General features: G+C 37.6%; 1 protein-coding gene across 3 annotated transcripts in view, besides 1 other annotated feature; it reads right to left on the bottom strand.

The window, feature by feature from the left end:
* The window catches only part of NUP62CL (nucleoporin 62 C-terminal like), an 83,007-nt gene that overhangs the window by 16,050 nt on the left and 47,542 nt on the right, over positions 1–19,415 (bottom strand). The window contains exons 5-8 of one of the 3 annotated variants that reach the window (NM_017681.3): positions 14,620–14,770; positions 13,978–14,027; positions 13,696–13,830; positions 8,267–8,333 (exon numbers count right to left, since the gene is read on the bottom strand). In NM_017681.3, the coding sequence (NP_060151.2) occupies positions 8,309–8,333; positions 13,696–13,830; positions 13,978–14,027; positions 14,620–14,770 (361 nt within the window). In that variant the 3' untranslated portion in view covers positions 8,267–8,308. The remainder of the gene's footprint in view (positions 1–8,266; positions 8,334–13,695; positions 13,831–13,977; positions 14,028–14,619; positions 14,771–19,415) is intronic. The other 2 variants (NR_033676.2, NM_001433614.1) reach the window with 2 other exon arrangements.
* Positions 16,595–16,755: a silencer, noted in NCBI's record as "fragment chrX:106399301-106399461 (GRCh37/hg19 assembly coordinates)". NCBI's record gives its function as "represses an EF-1alpha promoter that drives an FKBP-Casp9 reporter gene in an ReSE screen in HepG2 liver carcinoma cells {active_cell/tissue: HepG2}" and the evidence as "EXISTENCE:reporter gene assay evidence [ECO:0000049][PMID:32094911]".

Below are 19,415 nucleotides of genomic sequence, written 5' to 3' on the forward strand. Positions count from 1 at the left end.
GAAACTTCAATTAAAAAAAGACCAACGCACACAAATAAGTTTTGATTCCCAACCTCTTTTCCTACAACTGCCAGCTCAGTAACCATATAATATGACCCCCAATTTATGTTAGGCAACAGTTTTACCAAATCTGTTCTAACTGCTTAATATGGCTGGCCATCTTTTCAGCCTTCACCGTATGTTTCCTCATTGTTGCCTGCCTGCTAAGCCAGTGCCACATTTTAAGGTTTCAGTTATTGTCCAATCTACCTTCTATGTTAGTGAGGTTGTTAGTTAGGCTGTTTAAAAGCAACCTTGAAATCTTAGGGGCTTGCCATAATTAAGGTTTATTTCTCATTCAGAAACGGAGGAAGGGAAGGATACAGGGAGAGGGGAGAGGGAAGAGGATGAAAGAGAGAATACTGTCTTCTCACTACTCATAGATTCTTTTAAGATACCCAGTTTATTAAAATCAAAGTTACACTCAGAATTAATGTACCTGAATTCCTAGTGCTAAGTATGTCTGATGGGAGAAAGAGTATTTACAGAGATGTACAAAGCTCCATTTCTGCCATGAGAATACACATACTGGTCTTGCCACTGATATATTAAGGTGGTGACAAGACATTCTGCTTGTGTGTAGCACTGCCCTTCACACAAAATTAATAAAAAATACATTTCAAGGAAGAGTGTAAAAAGAAAAGATGGTGAAAGCATCCTGAATTCATGGAGGCAGAGGAGAAAAATGTAGTAGAATTATTATATCTTAAGTGGTCTTTATTCAGTCATCCTGTTGAAATTATTACTTATTCAAGTCTCATTTCAAATTCTACCTTTTCTAGGAAATCAACTGAATATTATGTTCTTCTTCCTTTACCATACCCCTACCCCCTCACTTTGTATCTGTTCAAGGCAGAGGTGCCATTAATATTTATACCTCCTACACTGAGATACACAATGACTTGGCATATAGTAGATGCTTTGTATTTAGAGTCACAGCTACTGTGCTGTTTCAACTGGCATCTAAAAGAACATCTTCCAATTATATAGCACTCAGTTTTCAAAATGCCCATATATATTACCCACAATACCCTGGGATGGAACAAATAATTAAAAACTCAAGAAGGTTAAGTTACCTCTCAAAGGCCAAAGCTAATGAATTTCTACTATGACCTGTATCTTTAGATTCCCATACAAGAGTGCTTTTTCTGTTACAGTACACCTGTTTGCCAAATGCTGTGCAATTTTTTAATAAAAAGTATTATGCTGAGCTAATAACTGGCATTGCAGCAAATACTATTTGTTGTCCCTTCAAACACTGAAGTGCTTAGAATGTGGCTGGCCTATCTGAATCCCATCTGGCAAAGTTTAACTGGTGAAATACCATCAGTTTATCTTATCCATGAGGTGGCCATTGAGATGGGCCCCAAAAAAAGCATTAGAGTAAGACTCCAGTGTACGGTGTTTGTTTTTTGGTCAGTAACAGAAATAAAATTACTTTGGAGAAAAATCCGTCCTTCTCACAAACAATATATATTCTGCTATTTGGAAGTGATTTAAATTATGTTACATATTTCATCTGGGGAGTCTCTCCAACTTGAGGAAATTCACTTGGGCACAAAATGTACATAAGTAGGATTAGTGAGAAATCTAATTTTGCAGATGTATTGAGTGTATTTCAAATCTGGATTTACATATAGAAAAGGAAGTTTGGGAAGTGGAGCTCTGAGAATGTTAACCATCACATACATGTGCTTTCCTAACAGCAGCTGAATACTTGCTCAATTCTAATTTTAGTACCCTAATCAAACCTACAAGAAGTTCTTCAGAATCAAGAGACAAAGGTGTGACAAAAAATCTATTTTGTCTGTAAAGGGGAACAAAGATGAGCAAGTGGCTAATAAACAGTGGAAAGACATAAAATACCTTTCAATTAACTGCACTGGGAACAACCAAGTGTCTCTGTTGAGGTTAAGAGACGCTAAAAGTGAACCTCACAAACAGAGATATCTTTGTGTTGCTGCCGCATCTCTGGCAGAACAAGGGCATTCACTTTTCAAGTAGGTGAAGTGGAACATTATACTCAAGAACACAAGAGATGACCTCACCAATCAACCAATGCCACCAAGATTTCCCAAAGAATTAAAGAAAAAGAGGAAGTAAATGAAACAACCTTGCTCAGTAAATCAGATTCTATTCTAGAAGACGAAACAGGAAGAAGGCACCTTAATTGGAATTCAAAGGCATCTTTTGGCATCTCAGCATCTGATACTCTTCAGATATGAGAGGGATGGATGAAAGTAATTAATAAAAATATTTTTAGGCCGAGTGTGGTGGCTCATGCTTGTAATCCTCACACTTTGGGAGGCCGAGGCGGTGGATCACTTGAAGCCAAGAGTTCGAGACCAGCCTGGCCAACACCATGAAACCCTGTCTCTACCAAAAAATACAAAAATTAGCCGGGTATGGTGGTGCGTGCCTGTAGTCCCAGCTACTCGGGAGGCAGAATCACTTGAACCGGAAGGCAGAGGTTGCAGTGAGCCGAGATCATGCCACTGCACTCCAGCCTGGGTGACAGAGTGAGGCTCTGTCTCAAAAAATACATATAATATATGTATTTTTAAAAAATCTTTCTTGTCTGCACCAAAGCTTCTTAAAAAAATCCTACTCCAAAAAATCTAATTAAAAGCAATACCCTCAGACAATAAATATTAACACTGGGTAAATATAAAGTATGATTATTACATATCACACAAAACTACTTCTCTAAAATGATCCTATGACATTTTATGCAAGAGTTAGTCAAATCATGAGAGACAACTAAGAATGTTTTGCACCAAAAAAATAAGGTGTTCATAGCCATTCAGCTTAGTACTAATGGGATTTTATTTTGGAAATATTACAAAATCCCTATGGTGCTTATAGTTACTCTAAGGAGTAACTCTGCCCTAAATAGCAGCCTAAATGTTGTGAGCAGCTATTAAATAATTATCCAGTTCTATTCCTTAAGAGACTGCAATAATTGTGGAAGAAATATATTTTAGTCTTGAAGCTTTGGGATACTTTATGAAAGAAGTAAAATGCCATGAAAATACTCAGTGAACTTTCAAATAATTACAAGTATAAGATTTTTCCATTGCCCGTTCCTTTATTGGGGTGTTGGATAAATATTACCAGACATGATTATGGTTTGGTATATGAAGAAACAGAAAATGCCTATCCCTCACCCCATGTTGCCTCTCTAAGAGAAGTAGCACCATATACTTAAAACTAGTAACGAATTGGTTCAGATGCATTGCCAATTCTGTCATAAGTGGTCCCAGAAGAACTGGAGTTGCTGCAGTTTCAATGACTACCAACTCAGAAGACAGATGTGTGACTGCAGCATTGCCATCAAGTCAACCTCAAAATAATGTTGTAAATTTTTACAAAGAGAATAACAAGAGGGGAAACTGGTATTTGACTATAGTTACTACTAATTCCCAATTATCTAGACTGATCGGGAGGAAAAAAGGCATAGTTAATGTTAAACAAAGGAGGGAAATATCAAATGTAAAAACTGGTCATTACCTACACATGTTCAGACACTCCTTAATTCAATTATCTAGTACTTTGACACCTTTCTAGTTCAGTCCCATCACTTATCTAACCCATCACATAAGTTAGAGAAAGAAAGGGGCCTAGTTCTCTGTAACTTATTCATGGATATTGAAAAGTTGACTGGACTTTTATGTAATATTTTAACATATTTAAAGTGTAATGTTTCATTTCCAAATCACGCTTTTTTATTAGACACAGTCTCACTGTCACCAAGGCTAGGGTGTAGTGATGCAATCATGGCTCACTGAAGCCTCGAACTCCCAAGCTCAAACCTCCTACCTCAGTATCCCAAGTAGCTGGAACCACAGGTGTGTGCTACTACACCCAGCTATTTTTTTTTTAAGAGATGAGGTCTCACTTTGTTGCCCAGGCTGGTTTCGAATCCCTGGGCTCAAGCGATCCATCCACCTTGGCCTCCTGAAGTGCTGGGATTGCAGGTATGAGAGACAGTGCCCAGCCTCCAAATCACTTTTAAAGAGCCAACTTTTTAGTTAAATATATGATCTTCTTAGTGCAACAGTTGTCATGTTTTATGATGGAAAAAAATGTGTACTAAAATTAAAGATATTGAATTATCAAAACATTTCCCAGAATCCTTTTAAAATAAAGATTTGATTATATACAAGTTGAAGATTTCTCTTTAGTAAAAAACTATAATATTTGTATTGTTAAAATAACACATCTATTACTTTTTCTATAACGATTATTTGAGTAGAAATAAATGGATTCATTGAGCTTACTCAAAAAACTTTTCAGTCCACAGATCATTTCAGCATACATGATCCAATTAACTACTAAAAAACAAAATAAAACAACAAAAAACAACCTCTCTTAAGACAGCATAATTAAACCCTGCCACTCTCAATTTCTTCATCTTGTCATTTCCTGATATGAAAAAGAAAGTCTCCTTGGGTGGGAATGGCAAAAAGGAGCCCACAGTCAAGAAATACCAGGCTTTTTTTCTCATTCTTTTTCATGGCCTCCTTTGTCTCAGTTGAGAACCAATATGAAATCTCATCGCCTCTCCAGCTCAAATGAATTTTTAGCAAAAAAGTAACTCCAAGTAATCATTACTCTTCATTGTTTTACTCTTTTTATCCTGTGTTTACTTAGAACTTTCCCCAGATACCTAGAACTTATATCCTATCCAAAGTACTATCATACTTTGATAACCTTTGTCCTCTACTATTAGGTACATGACTAAGATTTGTTTTTATATTTAGTGATCCTACATTACAATTGTTTTAAGAGCATACCAGAAGAAAGAACACCATTCTGATAATAAGGAAGTCTGGATCCTGGTCCTAGCTCTGCCATTAATTAGCTGTGTGTTCTTAAAGAAGTCATTCAACCTCTCTGAGCCACAGTTTCTCCATTTAAATAAAGTAAGTCCCTTTTCAATGCTAACAATCTTAATTTTATTAAGGAAACACTGGCTGAAAGCCTTGAGATTTCATTTATGACAAAGAGAATCCCTGCCAAGAGAAAAAAATCACTATAATTTTTCTCTACAGCCCAAATTACTTTTTGACACCTTCCTCAACTCTACCCGAGAAGCACTGATCACTGTAGAAAAATATGCGACAGGAAGACAACTAAGTCAAGCATTGTTTAATCTCATTCCTGAGTGTTTTCTAGTTACTGACACTCTCACATCTCAGCAGTTCTTATAACCTGTCTAGGTAAGTGGTTTTTGGTGATAAACTACCTGGAACTACCTTCTCTAGATCCAATTTAATAGCTACCTTTTGAATCACATGACCCTTCTTTTCTCTTACCTGACCACACAAACATAGTAAATTCTGATAATCAGTAACCAGTTCTGCCACTACCATTTACTGACATTGCTTCTTTTAATCCTTACAAAACCCCTAAAAGATAGATATTATCCCTCATTTTAAAAATGAAGATACAGACTCAGAGAGATTAAGTAACAATTAAGGTCACACAACAATTAAGTGGTAATGCCTTGACTTGAACCCGTATCTATCTGACTTAGAAACTCTCCCCATCAGGCAGTTTTAAAAAATATTAAAGCGATATAGAATTTAACCTCCCTCTGATAATTCAAAATAGTTTCAAAATTGATAGAATATTTTTTCCTTAACACAGGAGAGAAGGAAGTAAAGATGAATGATGATATAGGTATGTCTGGAAGGGAAAGAAGCTGAAGAAGTTCATGGTTGATGACCTCTATTAATGCAGAAAATGAAAAATCTAGCATGCCAAATAATAAAATTTGTATTATTTTAAGGCCACATCTTTAAAAGTAGTTAACTCTGGTTAACTAGCTCCCATTTGTCTTAATTCCTTAGGCTTCATTATATTCCATATTTAGGCAAAGTCTATAAAAATGATTTCCACCCCCCAATTTTTAAGTCTATAGGAAAGTTGAGAGAATAGTAAAAACCACACACTTGTATGCCTTTTACCTAGATTAACCCACTGTTAACATTTTGCCACAAATTGCTAAATCTTCCTCTTTGCAAATTTTTGCTGAAAGTAAACCACAGACATGAGAATTCTCTAAATAACATAGCCTGAATCTTCTAAGAATAAGGATCTTTTCCTACATAATCAATAACTATCACATCTAGTAAAATAAACAATTCCTTAATATCATTTAATATACAGTCCATATTCAATCCCCCAATATTCTAAACAATATCTTTTTAGTTTTGATCAGTACCTAATCAAGGGTAACAAGGTAGACTTGAATGTTATGCCTTTTTTAATCTAAGACTATCCACTTATTTTTGTTTGCTTGCTTCGAATTTTTTTTCTCATAACGAACTTTTTGAAGAGTCCAAGCCAATTATCTTTCAGAATGTCTCACACATAGAATGTCTGATTATTTTCCTGAGATTAGATTCAAGTTAAACATTTTGGGTAAGAATACTACATCATCTTTCAGAATGTCTCACATGTGGAATATCTGATTATTTTCTTATGATTAGATTCAAATTAAACATTTTTGATAAGACTACTACATAAATGGTATTGTATACTTCTTATCATGTCAGATCAAGAGGCACATAAAGTCCAGTTATTCTACTATTGGAGAGGCTAAGTTTGATCACTTCATTAAAGTGGTACAAGTTAGATAGCTGTTGTAAAGGCACATTTTGTCCTTTGTAACTATTCAGTAATCTATGGAGTGATATTTTTGAGACCACATAAATATCCTATTCTCCAGCGATCTTAAACTCAATGGTTTTAGCATTCATTGATGATCCTTGCCTGAATCAATGATTGTGCTGGGGTTGCAAAATGGCTCTTTTCCTCATTGAAGTGTACAATTAAAATGGGTGAACTTTATGGTATGTAAATTATGCCTCAATAAAACTGTTTTGAAAAAATTAACTCAGCAACTTACAGACTGTATTTGGTACATTTTCTGCTAGCATATTTTTCTGCCAAGAAATGACAGTTTGAACATTTTACGAATGAGGCAGGTGTTCAAGATGAGAGTGAGCTTAATGAAAGTGTTCTGTTGAAAGTTTTATTAATAGCAGTTTTCTAATTTTATCATTCCTTCTTTCAATAATTAGCTGGCATGCTTCTGTAGACTTTCTCCTGTACCTCCTTTTTTTTGGAGTATCATTATAGATTCATGAGATTTTATTTTCCCTCAATCTATTATAATCTGTTACTACTACTATTCTTTTTGATGTTCAAACCATCCTAATGTGGCCAGTGGGAGTCCCTTCAAGCACAATCTTGTGCCCTGATATAACCTTATTAGTCACTGAACAATGATTGCTTTCTTGCACAAGAAGTCTCAAGCTCACTCTGTACTTTCCCAGCCTGAGGCATGAGATTAGACAGTTCCCCAAGAAGACTTGGTTCCTTTTAGTGTGAATGGCATTTAGAAACCAAGATCTAGGTTCTAGGTGTGCTCATTGCCACTGGGATATGTCTGTCATTGCTTCTAGGCCATTTCTGTGTATAGAACAAAGGAACAGGAATTCATTACTCATATCTTAAATTCAAATTTATAATGCAAATAGAAAAGAAGAGGAAAAATAACTTGTATCTCTTTGACTTTCAATGAAAATCTTGACTTCTATTATCACTAATATGCTTTACTTTATTTCTCAATATATATGAAATGGTAGTAATACTGGTATTATAATTCTGAAACTAATAATAAACCTATTAAGAGAAAGTTTAAAATTTCCCTGATGTTCCTTATATCCTTAAGATGACCTCCTAGAAGGATGCATCATCAAGAACACTATGTTCAAAAGTTATCTGAACTGGGCGATTGTTATAAATTAGTTATGTAGGTTTGTTTAGTTTCAGTATGTATTCAATTTTAGTATTTGTCTTCCTTCTCATTATTTTTGACTTAATTCTAATTTTTTGGTATGTAAAACATTTATATGGCCCCCAAGTCAAAACTGTGTAAAAAGGCATATTCATAGAAGTCTTGCTTCTATCCCAATTCTATGTGCCCCATTCCTATCCATCCTCTATTTTCATTAATTTCTAGTTTATCCCATGTGTACTTCATTTAAAAAAATAAGGAATTACAGTTTTTCAGAACTATAATACACATACTGTGCGTTAAGCAACACCCATACAACAGCTTTTATATGAGTTTGGTCATGGAGCATACAACTGACATGTATCACGTTTTCTACTTGCAATAAATACACAGAGTGGCATACAAGCAAACTCCCACCTGAATTCCGATCAATCCACTGCAGGGAGTCCATATGGGCATTCAGAATTCTGCAGATCTGGTGGAGCTAAAAATACATATAAGACTTTTAGATTATGATTATTCTGAGGTGGTAAATAAAAAATAAACATAAGAAATTGACATTAGGAAGTGACTTTTAATTTCTTCTGGTAAGAAATGGACTGAGAATTACTAAATACTAATTTTTTTGTTGCTAATTCATATTTGCAATGTTCATTATCTTTATATATTGGTTCAATTTAATTATTTGTAACTATCATGAATTGGATACCTACAATTCAATAAGAAACTGACTACCACAGTATAAAGAACATTAAGACACATTTCACAAGACAATGAATTCACATAAAAAAATTAAAAATAGCACCAGTTGTCAACCAAATCAGCAATTTTTTAAAAATGGTCTTACTCAGTTATCGAGTGTGTGGGAAAAAATAGTTACATTCATATATAGCCAATAGTAATATAAATTGACCCAACCTTTCAAAATGTAAATTTTTATGATACATATCAAAAGCTTTAAAATATTCATACCTTTTGACTCAGTCAGTATATTCTATTTCCGTTATCCAGAGGAGATAATCAAATCTAAATATAAGTGGTGATTACTGGACTATTTTATATTGGCTAAAGATTGGAAACAATATCTCTACCAATCAAAAAATGATTAAATAGATCATGGTAAAGTCAACCCTGATGAAACATTATAGTACCATTAAAACTCATGTTTTCAAAGAATGGTTAAAATTTTTGGGAAAGACCATGAAAGAATATTAAGTGAAGATAGAATACAAAAAGTTATATAGTTTCCAGTACTCTTTAATACAAAAGAAGTATTTTTAGCAGCATAGCAAAAAAGACTAGAAAGAAATACACCAGTATATTATCAGGGTACTGTTAATATAGATGACTTAATTTTCCTTATGGATTTTGTAAGAAAATGTGACTGAATAACACAGTGCATAATATGAACTTACTTAATAAAACTTTTAGACATTAGGTGGTCTTTCCCATTGCCGCTCACAAAAAAAGGGGGAATAAAAATAGATAAATCTCATCACCGTGAATACTGGAACACATAGCTCCTATTTTTCTACCCTAGTATATGACCCAGAGTAATAAAGCTTTGTTAATCCGGTTAAAATAAATTATCTACAGGAATATTATTGTTCAGAAAATGTTTTTCCCGTTTCTTGTCCAAGGATTTATGCTATCTGCAAAAAGAGCTGTCAGTGATCTCTTTCTTCTTTTATTCTGCAATCAAACAGCAATTACCCTTTAATTGACTCATCTTAAACATCCCAATCACCCCTGCCAGGAAAACAAAAAGACTCAAACCATTTACTACCCACTACTAAAATAAAATAAAACAATCCAGGGCTAAGTAGAGAAAATGGACAAAGACAGAATTATAGTCTCCTTTTAGTTACTTGATTGAGAACACTCCACTTATATTAATTCAACACAGAGAAACTAGAAATCAACTCTGCTGAATGTCTAAATCTGCATATATTTACCTATGCACCAAAATTCTATTACAACAAAACAATTTTGAATTTTGGAATTACAATGGTAATCTAATATTTCATTAAGAGAAAATCTGTATTTTGTAAACTCTTGATCATTTGTGTGAACACAGGGACATGGTAGCATGAATAATTTCAGATTAATTTATATTTGTCTTTGTTCAACTTTAGATTCACCCAAAGTACAGAATGGCATAATTTTTATAGCGGGAAGGGACCTACAGATCATTTAGTCTATCCTTGACATTTTGCAAAAAGAAGGAGCCAAGACCCAGAGAGATTAAATGACTTAAACAAAATTCTAATACTTTCTCAGCTATAACACACTGTATCTTCATAATTTAAAAAATGGTAATGTGTATGTAGATAAAGAACTGTCTGTATATAATTGAACAAAGAGCTTACTAAAGAATAATCACCACTTACATATATGTCATTCATCTTCACCTACCCGATCCTGGCCTCACTCCTGATTATGATTAACTGATAGAAAGCACAATGGGAACTCCCACAATGGGAGATCCCTCTTACTACTACTGCCACAGAGTGGGAGCGGGAAAAGGAGGACTCCATTTAGCTGCTAAGACAACAGGGAAAGGTACAGGAAATAAGCTGTTTAATCAGAGTATAGAGAAAGAAAAAAAAAACAATTCTTTCTTACTGCCAAATTAATTCACAGCACCTTAACTCTAATTGGAGCCTCAGCTGTAATTCCACTGATATAATACATTTATTATGAGCTAAATAGTATTCTGTGGGGGCAGGTGTAAACCTAATAACCATATTTCACCAAGTTTCTATAGAAAAATGTAAAGTCTCAAATAGTCAACCTAACAAATTTTAAAATACAATCTAACCATAAATTAAGGATTGCCTGGTTGTGTTGAACAGACACAAGCATACCTACTAACACTTATATAAGTATGTAAACAAATATGTAAAAAGAAGAATGAACTGGCTAGTAAGTGAACAGAAAAATAAATACAGGTACATACTTAGTTATGTGAAGAATAAGGGAGAAAAGCATGACAACTTAGGGAAGAGTAATATTTTCACCTTCCTGGGAATAACCACAAAAAACTCACAACCTTTTCTGCCTCTAGATGTTTCCTGCTCCACTAACCACACCCAAGGGGCTTCATATTTCTAGAGGCAGGAAGAAACACTATAGAAGACGGAAAAAAGGGACTAGCTTAAAAGAACCACAGAATGCTAATTTCTTTCTAGAGACAGGATCTCACTCTGTCACCCAGGCTAGAGCACAGTGGTGCAAGCATAGCTCACTGCAGCTTTCAACTCCTGGGCTCAAGTGATCCTCTCACCTCAGCCTCCAGAGTAGGTAGGACTATAGGTATGTACCACCATGCCCAGATAGATTTTTTCATTTTTGATAGAGACAGGGTCTCACTATGTTGCCCAGGCTGGTCTCAAACTCTTGGCCTAAAACAGTTCTCTTGCCTCGGCCTACCGAAGTGCTGGGGTTATAGGCATGAGCCACCATACCTGGCTGTATGCTAATTTCATACTAAATCTTGGTTGCCTAAGTACACAAAGCAGTAAACACACCGGATCAGTAGTGTCAGAAGAACTTTCAAATGTATTCAGGTGATTAACAACGTCCTTGAGATCTTGGGCCATTTGTTTCAGCTGAGCATCTATACTTTCTGCTAATCTGTAACTGAAAAGGCAAGTAAAATAAAGGGATTAACAAAAAGTGTTTTCTCCACTACCTATTGTTATTGATATATAAACATGACACTACCAATTGGATTTGCCCTAATTCCCCTGTCTTTTCAGTGGAGCTCAGTTATGACTACTGATATATTTTCATGGATGCAGCATTTGTGACGTTATTATTACCATGTTCTAAAAAGACTCCAAATGAGAAGACTTTTATCTACCTTGCCTTTTTACCTTCACCTATTTATCCTCTAGGTGAATACCCTGGGGATCTGTAGAGCAAAGGAATCCTTTAAGGTGTCAAAATACACCTATAGCACATTTACATACAAAAGAGAAGTTATTTAGGGTTTGGCAATATTCAATAGATGCTGAGATGTCTTCAATGATCTTGAATACACAAATTTTCAAAATAAAACCTCATATAAATATACTTCATCAGGCAAAAAAGATGTTTTGAGAAATGAGCTTCACAATAATCAAAGATAGACAAACCTGCTAAGTTCACAAGTTAGTTGCCTAAATTCTCGAGATTTCCACCCAAACCACACACACACACACACACACACACACACACGACCCAGTCAATAAATATGTTTATGAGAATTAAAGTGGCCAGAGGATTTTTCAACCTTAATGTGTATAAAGATTGAAAGAGTCAATTAGATTTGTAGGTAACAACTATCTACTGCCTTTCTATGGCATAGTACTTATGCCATAGAATTGGTTGCCTACATTATTGAAGATTCTGGTAAATATTTCATCACAATACAAATCTGGGCCGGGCGCGGTGGCTCATGCCTGTAATCCCAGCACTTTGGGAGCCCGAGGGGAGTGGATCATGAAGTCAGGAGTTCGAGACCAGCCTGGCCAACATGGTGAAACCCGGTCCCTACTAAAAATACAAAAAATTAGCTGGGTGTGGTGGCGCATGCCTGTAATCCCAGCTACTCAGGACGCTGAGGCAGAAGAATCGCTTGAACCCAGGAGGCAGAGGTTGCAGTGAGCCGAGATCGTGCCACTGCATTCCAGCCTGGGCGACAGAGCAAGACTTCATCTTGAATATATATATATATTCAGATATATATATATATATATATATATATTCAGATATATATATATATATTCAGATATATATATATATTCAGATATATATATATATTCAGATATATATATATTCAGATATATATATATATATTCAGATATATATATATTCAGATATATATATATATATGACTACAAAGGAGCAACTGGAAAGGAACTAATGTCATGAAGATTTCTTCAAACTACAGTTAGGATCTTATGGCCAAAAATGTAACTCTATATGTTTCAAAAAAATGATAGAATGCATAGAAAGCAATACAAAGAAAAGAAAAATTCACAAAGGTTGAAATACAAAAGCAGAAACTGATTTAGGTTAGTATAGATTAGTTGTACTTACCACATTTAATGCGCCTACAAAAAAGTTAACTTGCAAGCATGTTAAAAACAGGCCCAGTCTTAACTCATAATAAGTCATTGATAAAATGTGTCCAATTTAGTCTCAATCTAGATTATGTTGTTCATTCATACAAATTCTAATACTTAATAAATTGGCCAATTACCAAACCTCAGTTCCAGAGAAATAAAGTTACTTTGGGAATACTGGCACTGTATTGACAGAAGGTAAAGACTGAAGAGTTCACAAATAAAATATAGCCCTCCTAAGACATTGACAAAATCACTCCATTTTTGAAAGCTATACAGTTTGCCTCCAGATTAACAAATTGCCTTTAAAATAGCAAATGATTTATCACTAAAGCAATTGCATGACTATTAGTTTTAGCAGAATCAACATAAAGAGGAGACCATAAATATCCCACAATACCATGACACCATACACATAAAATTTGTACTTCTAATTTAAGAACAAATTTGACAAATACAAAAACTTTACAGTGAACATGCATAAGGTTGACAGTAATAACAGTAAACAAAATGCTATAAAACAAAATTGCCAGAATGATTTCCTCATTTACAAGCATCCAGAAAAGATAACCAGAAAACAATCAAACAAATTGATAAATGTCAACTACAAAAGCTTGTCCCTTTCTACCGATTTGTATTCCTTGCCTTCCAATTCGACTTTTCCCCTCTGTTCCTGGAATGCTCTCAGAATACGTAAGTCCTGCCCCATTCTTCAATCTTTTTTCAGTTACTTACATCTCCACATGCTCCTCATCTGCATCCTGCAGATAATGAAGTCCACTCTGGTCACGCGTAGACTCCTCTAAATAAGTCAACAGAAATTCTAGTTCCTGCTGCTGTGACAGGATAAAATCCAATTCTTGTTCCAATCTGAATAAAATAAGTTAATAAAAAGGCTGATGAAAGGAATTTGGAGTGACAAAAAGAAAAGAGTTAACAAACTACAGAAGGAAAAAAAAAACACTGAATAAAAAGATAGGTCTTTAATCTTTCAACCAAGGAAATCTAAGGTTCTACCTTTTCTGATCCAGTTTCACTTTGTTCACTTCTCCATGTAAAATACGAATCTATAAAGAGAAATATGAATACAACAATATAAGTATTTGAATTTATATAACAATTTTAGAGCAATATTAATTTTCTCAAATACACTTCAAATATGAAAGATTTCCTTTTATTCAGGGTACTTATTGCCTAAGGAATATACTTTGAGCTGCTCACCAATATTGGAATAGAAAATTAACCACAGGGCTGGGTATGGTGGCTCATGCCTATAATCCCAGCACTTTGGGAGGCTGAGGCAGGAGGATCACTTGAGCCTAGGAGTTTGAGACCAGACTGGACAACGCAGTGGGACCCTATCCCTACTGAAAAAACACACACACAGTTAGCTGGGGGTGCTGGTGTGCCCCTGTGGTCCCAGCTACTTAGGAGGCTGAGGTGGGAGAATTGCTTGAGCCAGGGAGATCGAGGCTGCAGTGAGCTGTAATTGCACCACTGTGCTCCAGCCTAGGTGATAGAGCAAGACCCTGTCTCAAAAAACAAAAACATAAACAAAACAACAACAACAAAGAAAACCACAAAACACAGGTCTATTTTCTTGTGTTCATCTGCAAATACTTGCACAATGTAGGTAGATTAATGAAAATATTTTCTTACCATCTCACCATTCTCAATCAATGTATGGTCCCAAGCATTGACCTGAGTGGCCTGGAGAAGAAAGTACTTCTCTTGATCTTCCAGCTCAAGGTTCCACTCATTTATAAGACCCTCCAGATGACCATATGTCATCACAGGAGTTGCTACTACACTAAAACATAAAAAGATGCAGGATGATCCAATAATCATACTTTAAAAAGTGTGATCAGATTTTAAAAACGAACACAGGAGGACTCTGAGAAGAAAACAGCATGTAAGGAATTTCCCATACCTGCTTCCCAAGAAAACAAACATAACTGGTAAAGATGATTAAAAAAAACAACCCCTCAAAGTCACTTGAAATTATCCTAGGTGAATATAGTAAATAAAGATTTATTAAGAAACCTACTAAATCACAGCAAGAATAGCTAAAGTCTGTGCCATAATCTGCTCCTTCTCTTCCCCTCATCCCAGCTCAGCATGAGAGAAGCTCCTTTCTGGGTAGGCATAGCTAAGGAGATAGGATTCTCTCTCCCCCAGCTCTTAGTCAAAGTGACCCATTCCCTGTTTGAGTAGTATCCACAAGAGAGTGGGCATTCCTCACTGGGTAGAACCATGCAGAACTCTGATTCCCCTGCCAAGTGGTATCAAAAAAGGCTCAGCAACTAGCTGATCTTTTGGCCAGCAGAGCCAGTCAATGGTGATTCCTCTGCTGGGGTAGTGTCAGCACGGCTCAGTGGGAAGGTAATCATCAATTCCCTAAGTGGAAGACACAGGCACGATTCCAATTCCTCCACCAGGGTTCTTTCTGTGGGATCCAATGACAAGTTGAACCTAAATCCCTACCCAGTAGCAACAGGGCTCAATGAGGCAGAATGAGGCAGGGTTAGTCACCATTAGGCTTCACCTCTTGCCTCTGGTGTCAGAGAGACCCAGTGGGGAGCTGAATCTCTATACCCACCCAGCATCATTACAACTGAACAAGGTGATTCAAGTTAGGGCTTGTAGGGATCCCACTTCCTGCCATCCATGGGGTCAGCAATGCTCAATGAGAAGCTTGACCTCCACATCCACTGGCAAAGCCAAGACTAAATGAGGTAGGGCAAAGAGCGCCTAGTCAGTACTTTGTCCCGCTTCTCCCATGAGCCTGTGTCAGCTGGGCCCAGTAGAGAGCTAAGCCTTCATACCAACCAAGGAGGCTGAATGAAGTGATATGAAACAAAGTAGTTGACATTATGCTTCTTCTTCCCTCCCCTTGTGTCAGTGGGGCCAACAGGAAGCTGAAATTCTGCCTCCATGTGCAGCAACTAAGCAGTGTGAGTCAGTCCTCCACTTCCCCCTGATCTGGGGGCTCCAGGGCCCAGCTGGGAGCTGAGCTTACATCTCCACTTACTGTCAATAAAGTGGTAGCATGCAATGTTCACCTTTCATGAGGGATGAGTCAGTGGGGCTAAGCGGGAAGCAGTTTCCATACCACCCATCTGCCTTGAGGCAGCGTGGTAAGTGCTCCACTTTTGCTGGAGTGGTGTGGGTAAGGTCCAGTGGGAAGCTGAACATACAAACACACCCACCCCTTGTACTACATGTCAAAAAAGAGATGCTTGATGAAAAAAAAATATGAAAATAGGACCTAGACTTTCCTAACATAATAGACAAAATGTCCAAGATAAAATTTTAAAAATTACCTATCATAGGGGAGGAGCCAAGATGGCCAAATAGGAACAGCTCCGGTCTACAGCTCCCAGCGTGAGCGACACAGAAGACGGGTGATTTCTGCATTTCCATCTGAGGTACCGGGTTCATCTCACTAGGGAGTGCCAGACAGTGGGCGCAGGCCAGTGGGTGCGCGCACCGTGCGCAAGCCAAAGCAGGGCGAGGCATTCCCTCACCTGGGAAGCGCAAGGGGTCAGGGAGTTCCCTTTCCGAGTCAAAGAAAGGGGTGACGGACGCACCTGGAAAATCGGGTCACTCCCACCCGAATATTGCGCTTTTCAGACCGGCTTAAAAAACGGCGCACGACGAGACTATATCCCACACCTGGCTCGGAGGGTCCTACGCCCACGGCATCTCGCTGATTGCTAGCACAGCAGTCTGAGATCAAACTGCAAGGCGGCAGCCAGGCTGGGGGAGGGGCGCCCGCCATTGCCCAGGCTTGATTAGGTAAACAAAGCAGCCGGGAAGCTCCAACTGGGTGGAGCCCACCACAGCTCAAGGAGGCCTGCCTGCCTCTGTAGGCTCCACCTCTGGGGGCAGGGCACAGACAAACAAAAAGACAGCAGTAACCTCTGCAGACTTAAATGTCCCTGTCTGACAGCTTTGAAGAGAGCAGTGGTTCTCCCAGCACGCAGCTGGAGATCTGAGAACAGGCAGACTGCCTCCTCAAGTGGGTCCCTGACCCCTGATCCCCGAGCAGCCTAACTGGGAGGCACCCCCCAGCAGGGGCACACTGACACCTCACACGGCAGGGTATTCCAACAGACCTGCAGCTGAGGGTCCTGTCTGTTAGAAGGAAAACTAACAAACAGAAAGGACATCCACACCAAAAACCCATCTGTACATCACCATCATCAAAGACCAAAAGTAGATAAAACCACAAAGATGGGGAAAAAACAGAACAGAAAAACTGGAAACTCTAAAACGCAGAGCGCCTCTCCTCCTCCAAAGGAACGCAGTTCCTCACCAGCAACGGAACAAAGCTGGATGGAGAATGATTTTGACGAGCTGAGAGGAAGGCTTCAGACGATCAAATTACTCTGAGCTACGGGAGGACATTCAAACCAAAGGCAAAGAAGTTGAAAACTTTGAAAAAAATTTAGAAGAATGTATAACTAGAATAACCAATACAGAGAAGTGCTTAAAGGAGCTGATGGAGCTGAAAACCAAGGCTCGAGAACTACGTGAAGAATGCAGAAGCCTCAGGAGCCGATGCGATCAACTGGAAGAAAGGGTATCAGCAATGGAAGATGAAATGAATGAAATGAAGCGAGAAGGGAAGTTTAGAGAAAAAAGAATAAAAAGAAATGAGCAAAGCCTCCAAGAAATGTGGGACGATGTGAAAAGACCAAATCTACGTCTGATTGGTGTACCTGAAAGTGATGGGGAGAATGCAACCAAGTTGGAAAACACTCTGCAGGATATTATCCAGGAGAACTTCCCCAATCTAGCAAGGCAGGCCAACGTTCAGATTCAGGAAATACAGAGAACGCCACAAAGATACTCCTCGGGAAGAGCAACTCCAAGACACATAATTGTCAGATTCACCAAAGTTGAAATGAAGGAAAAAATGTTAAGGGCAGCCAGAGAGAAAGGTCAGGTTACCCTCAAAGGGAAGCCCATCAGACTAACAGCGGATCTCTCAGCAGAAACCCTACAAGCCAGAAGAGAGTGGGGGCCAATATTCAACATTCTTAAAGAAAAGAATTTTCAACCCAGAATTTCATATCCAGCCAAACTAAGCTTCATAAGTGAAGGAGAAATAAAATACTTTACAGACAAGCAAGTGCTGAGAGATTTTGTCACCACCAGGCCTGCCCTAAAAGAGCTCCTGAAGGAAGCGCTAAACATGGAAAGGAACAACCGGTACCAGCCGCTGCAAAATCATGCCAAAATGTAAAGACCATCAAGACTAGGAAGAAACTGCATCAACTAACGAGCAAAATCACCAGCTAACATCATAATGACAGGATCAAATTCACACATAACAACACTAACTTTAAATGTAAATGGACTAAATTCTCCAATTAAAAGACACAGACTGGCAAATTGGATAAAGAGTCAAGACCCATCAGTGTGCTGTATTCAGGAGACCCATCTCATGTGCAGAGACACACATAGGCTCAAAATAAAAGGATGGAGGAAGATCTACCAAGCAAATGGAAAACAAAAAAAGGCAGGGGTTGCAATCCTAGTCTCTGATAAAACAGACTTTAAATCAACAAAGATCAAAAGAGACAAAGAAGGCCATTACATAATGGTAAAGGGATCAATTCAACAAGAGGAGCTAACTATCCTAAATATATATGCAGCCAATACAGGAGCACCCAGATTCATAAAGCAAGTCCTGAGTGACCTACAAAGAGACCTAGACTCCCACACATTAATAATGGGAGACTTTAACACCCCACTGTCAACATTAGACAGATCAACGAGACAGAAAGTCAACAAGGATACCCAGGAATTGAACTCAGCTCTGCACCAAGTGGACCTAATAGACATCTACAGAACTCTCCACCCCAAATCAACAGAATATACATTTTTTTCAGCACCACACCACACCTATTCCAAAATTGACCACATAGTTGGAAGTAAAGCTCTCCTCAGCAAATGTAAAAGAACAGAAATTATAACAAACTATCTCTCAGACCACAGCGCAATCAAACTAGAACTCAGGATTAAGAATCTCACTCAAAGCCACTCAACTACATGGAAACTGAACAACCTACTCCTGAATGACTACTGGGTACATAACGAAATGAAGGCAGAAATAAAGATGTTCTTTGAAACCAACGAGAACAAAGACACAACATACCAGAATCTCTGGGACGCATTCAAAGCAGTGTGTAGAGGGAAATTTATAGCACTAAATGCCCACAAGAGAAAGCAGGAAAGATCCAAAATTGACACCCTAACATCACAGTTAAAAGAACTAGAAAAGCAAGAGCAAACACATTCAAAAGCTAGCAGAAGGCAAGAAATAACTAAAATCAGAGCAGAACTGAAGGAAATAGAGACACAAAAAACCCTTCAAAAAATCAGTGAATCCAGGAGCTGGTTTTTTGAAAGGATCAACAAAATTGATAGACCGCTAGCAAGACTAA

The sequence above is a fragment of the Homo sapiens genome, chromosome X (genome assembly GCF_000001405.40).
Source record: "Homo sapiens chromosome X, GRCh38.p14 Primary Assembly".
NCBI classification, from domain to species: Eukaryota; Metazoa; Chordata; class Mammalia; order Primates; family Hominidae; genus Homo; species Homo sapiens.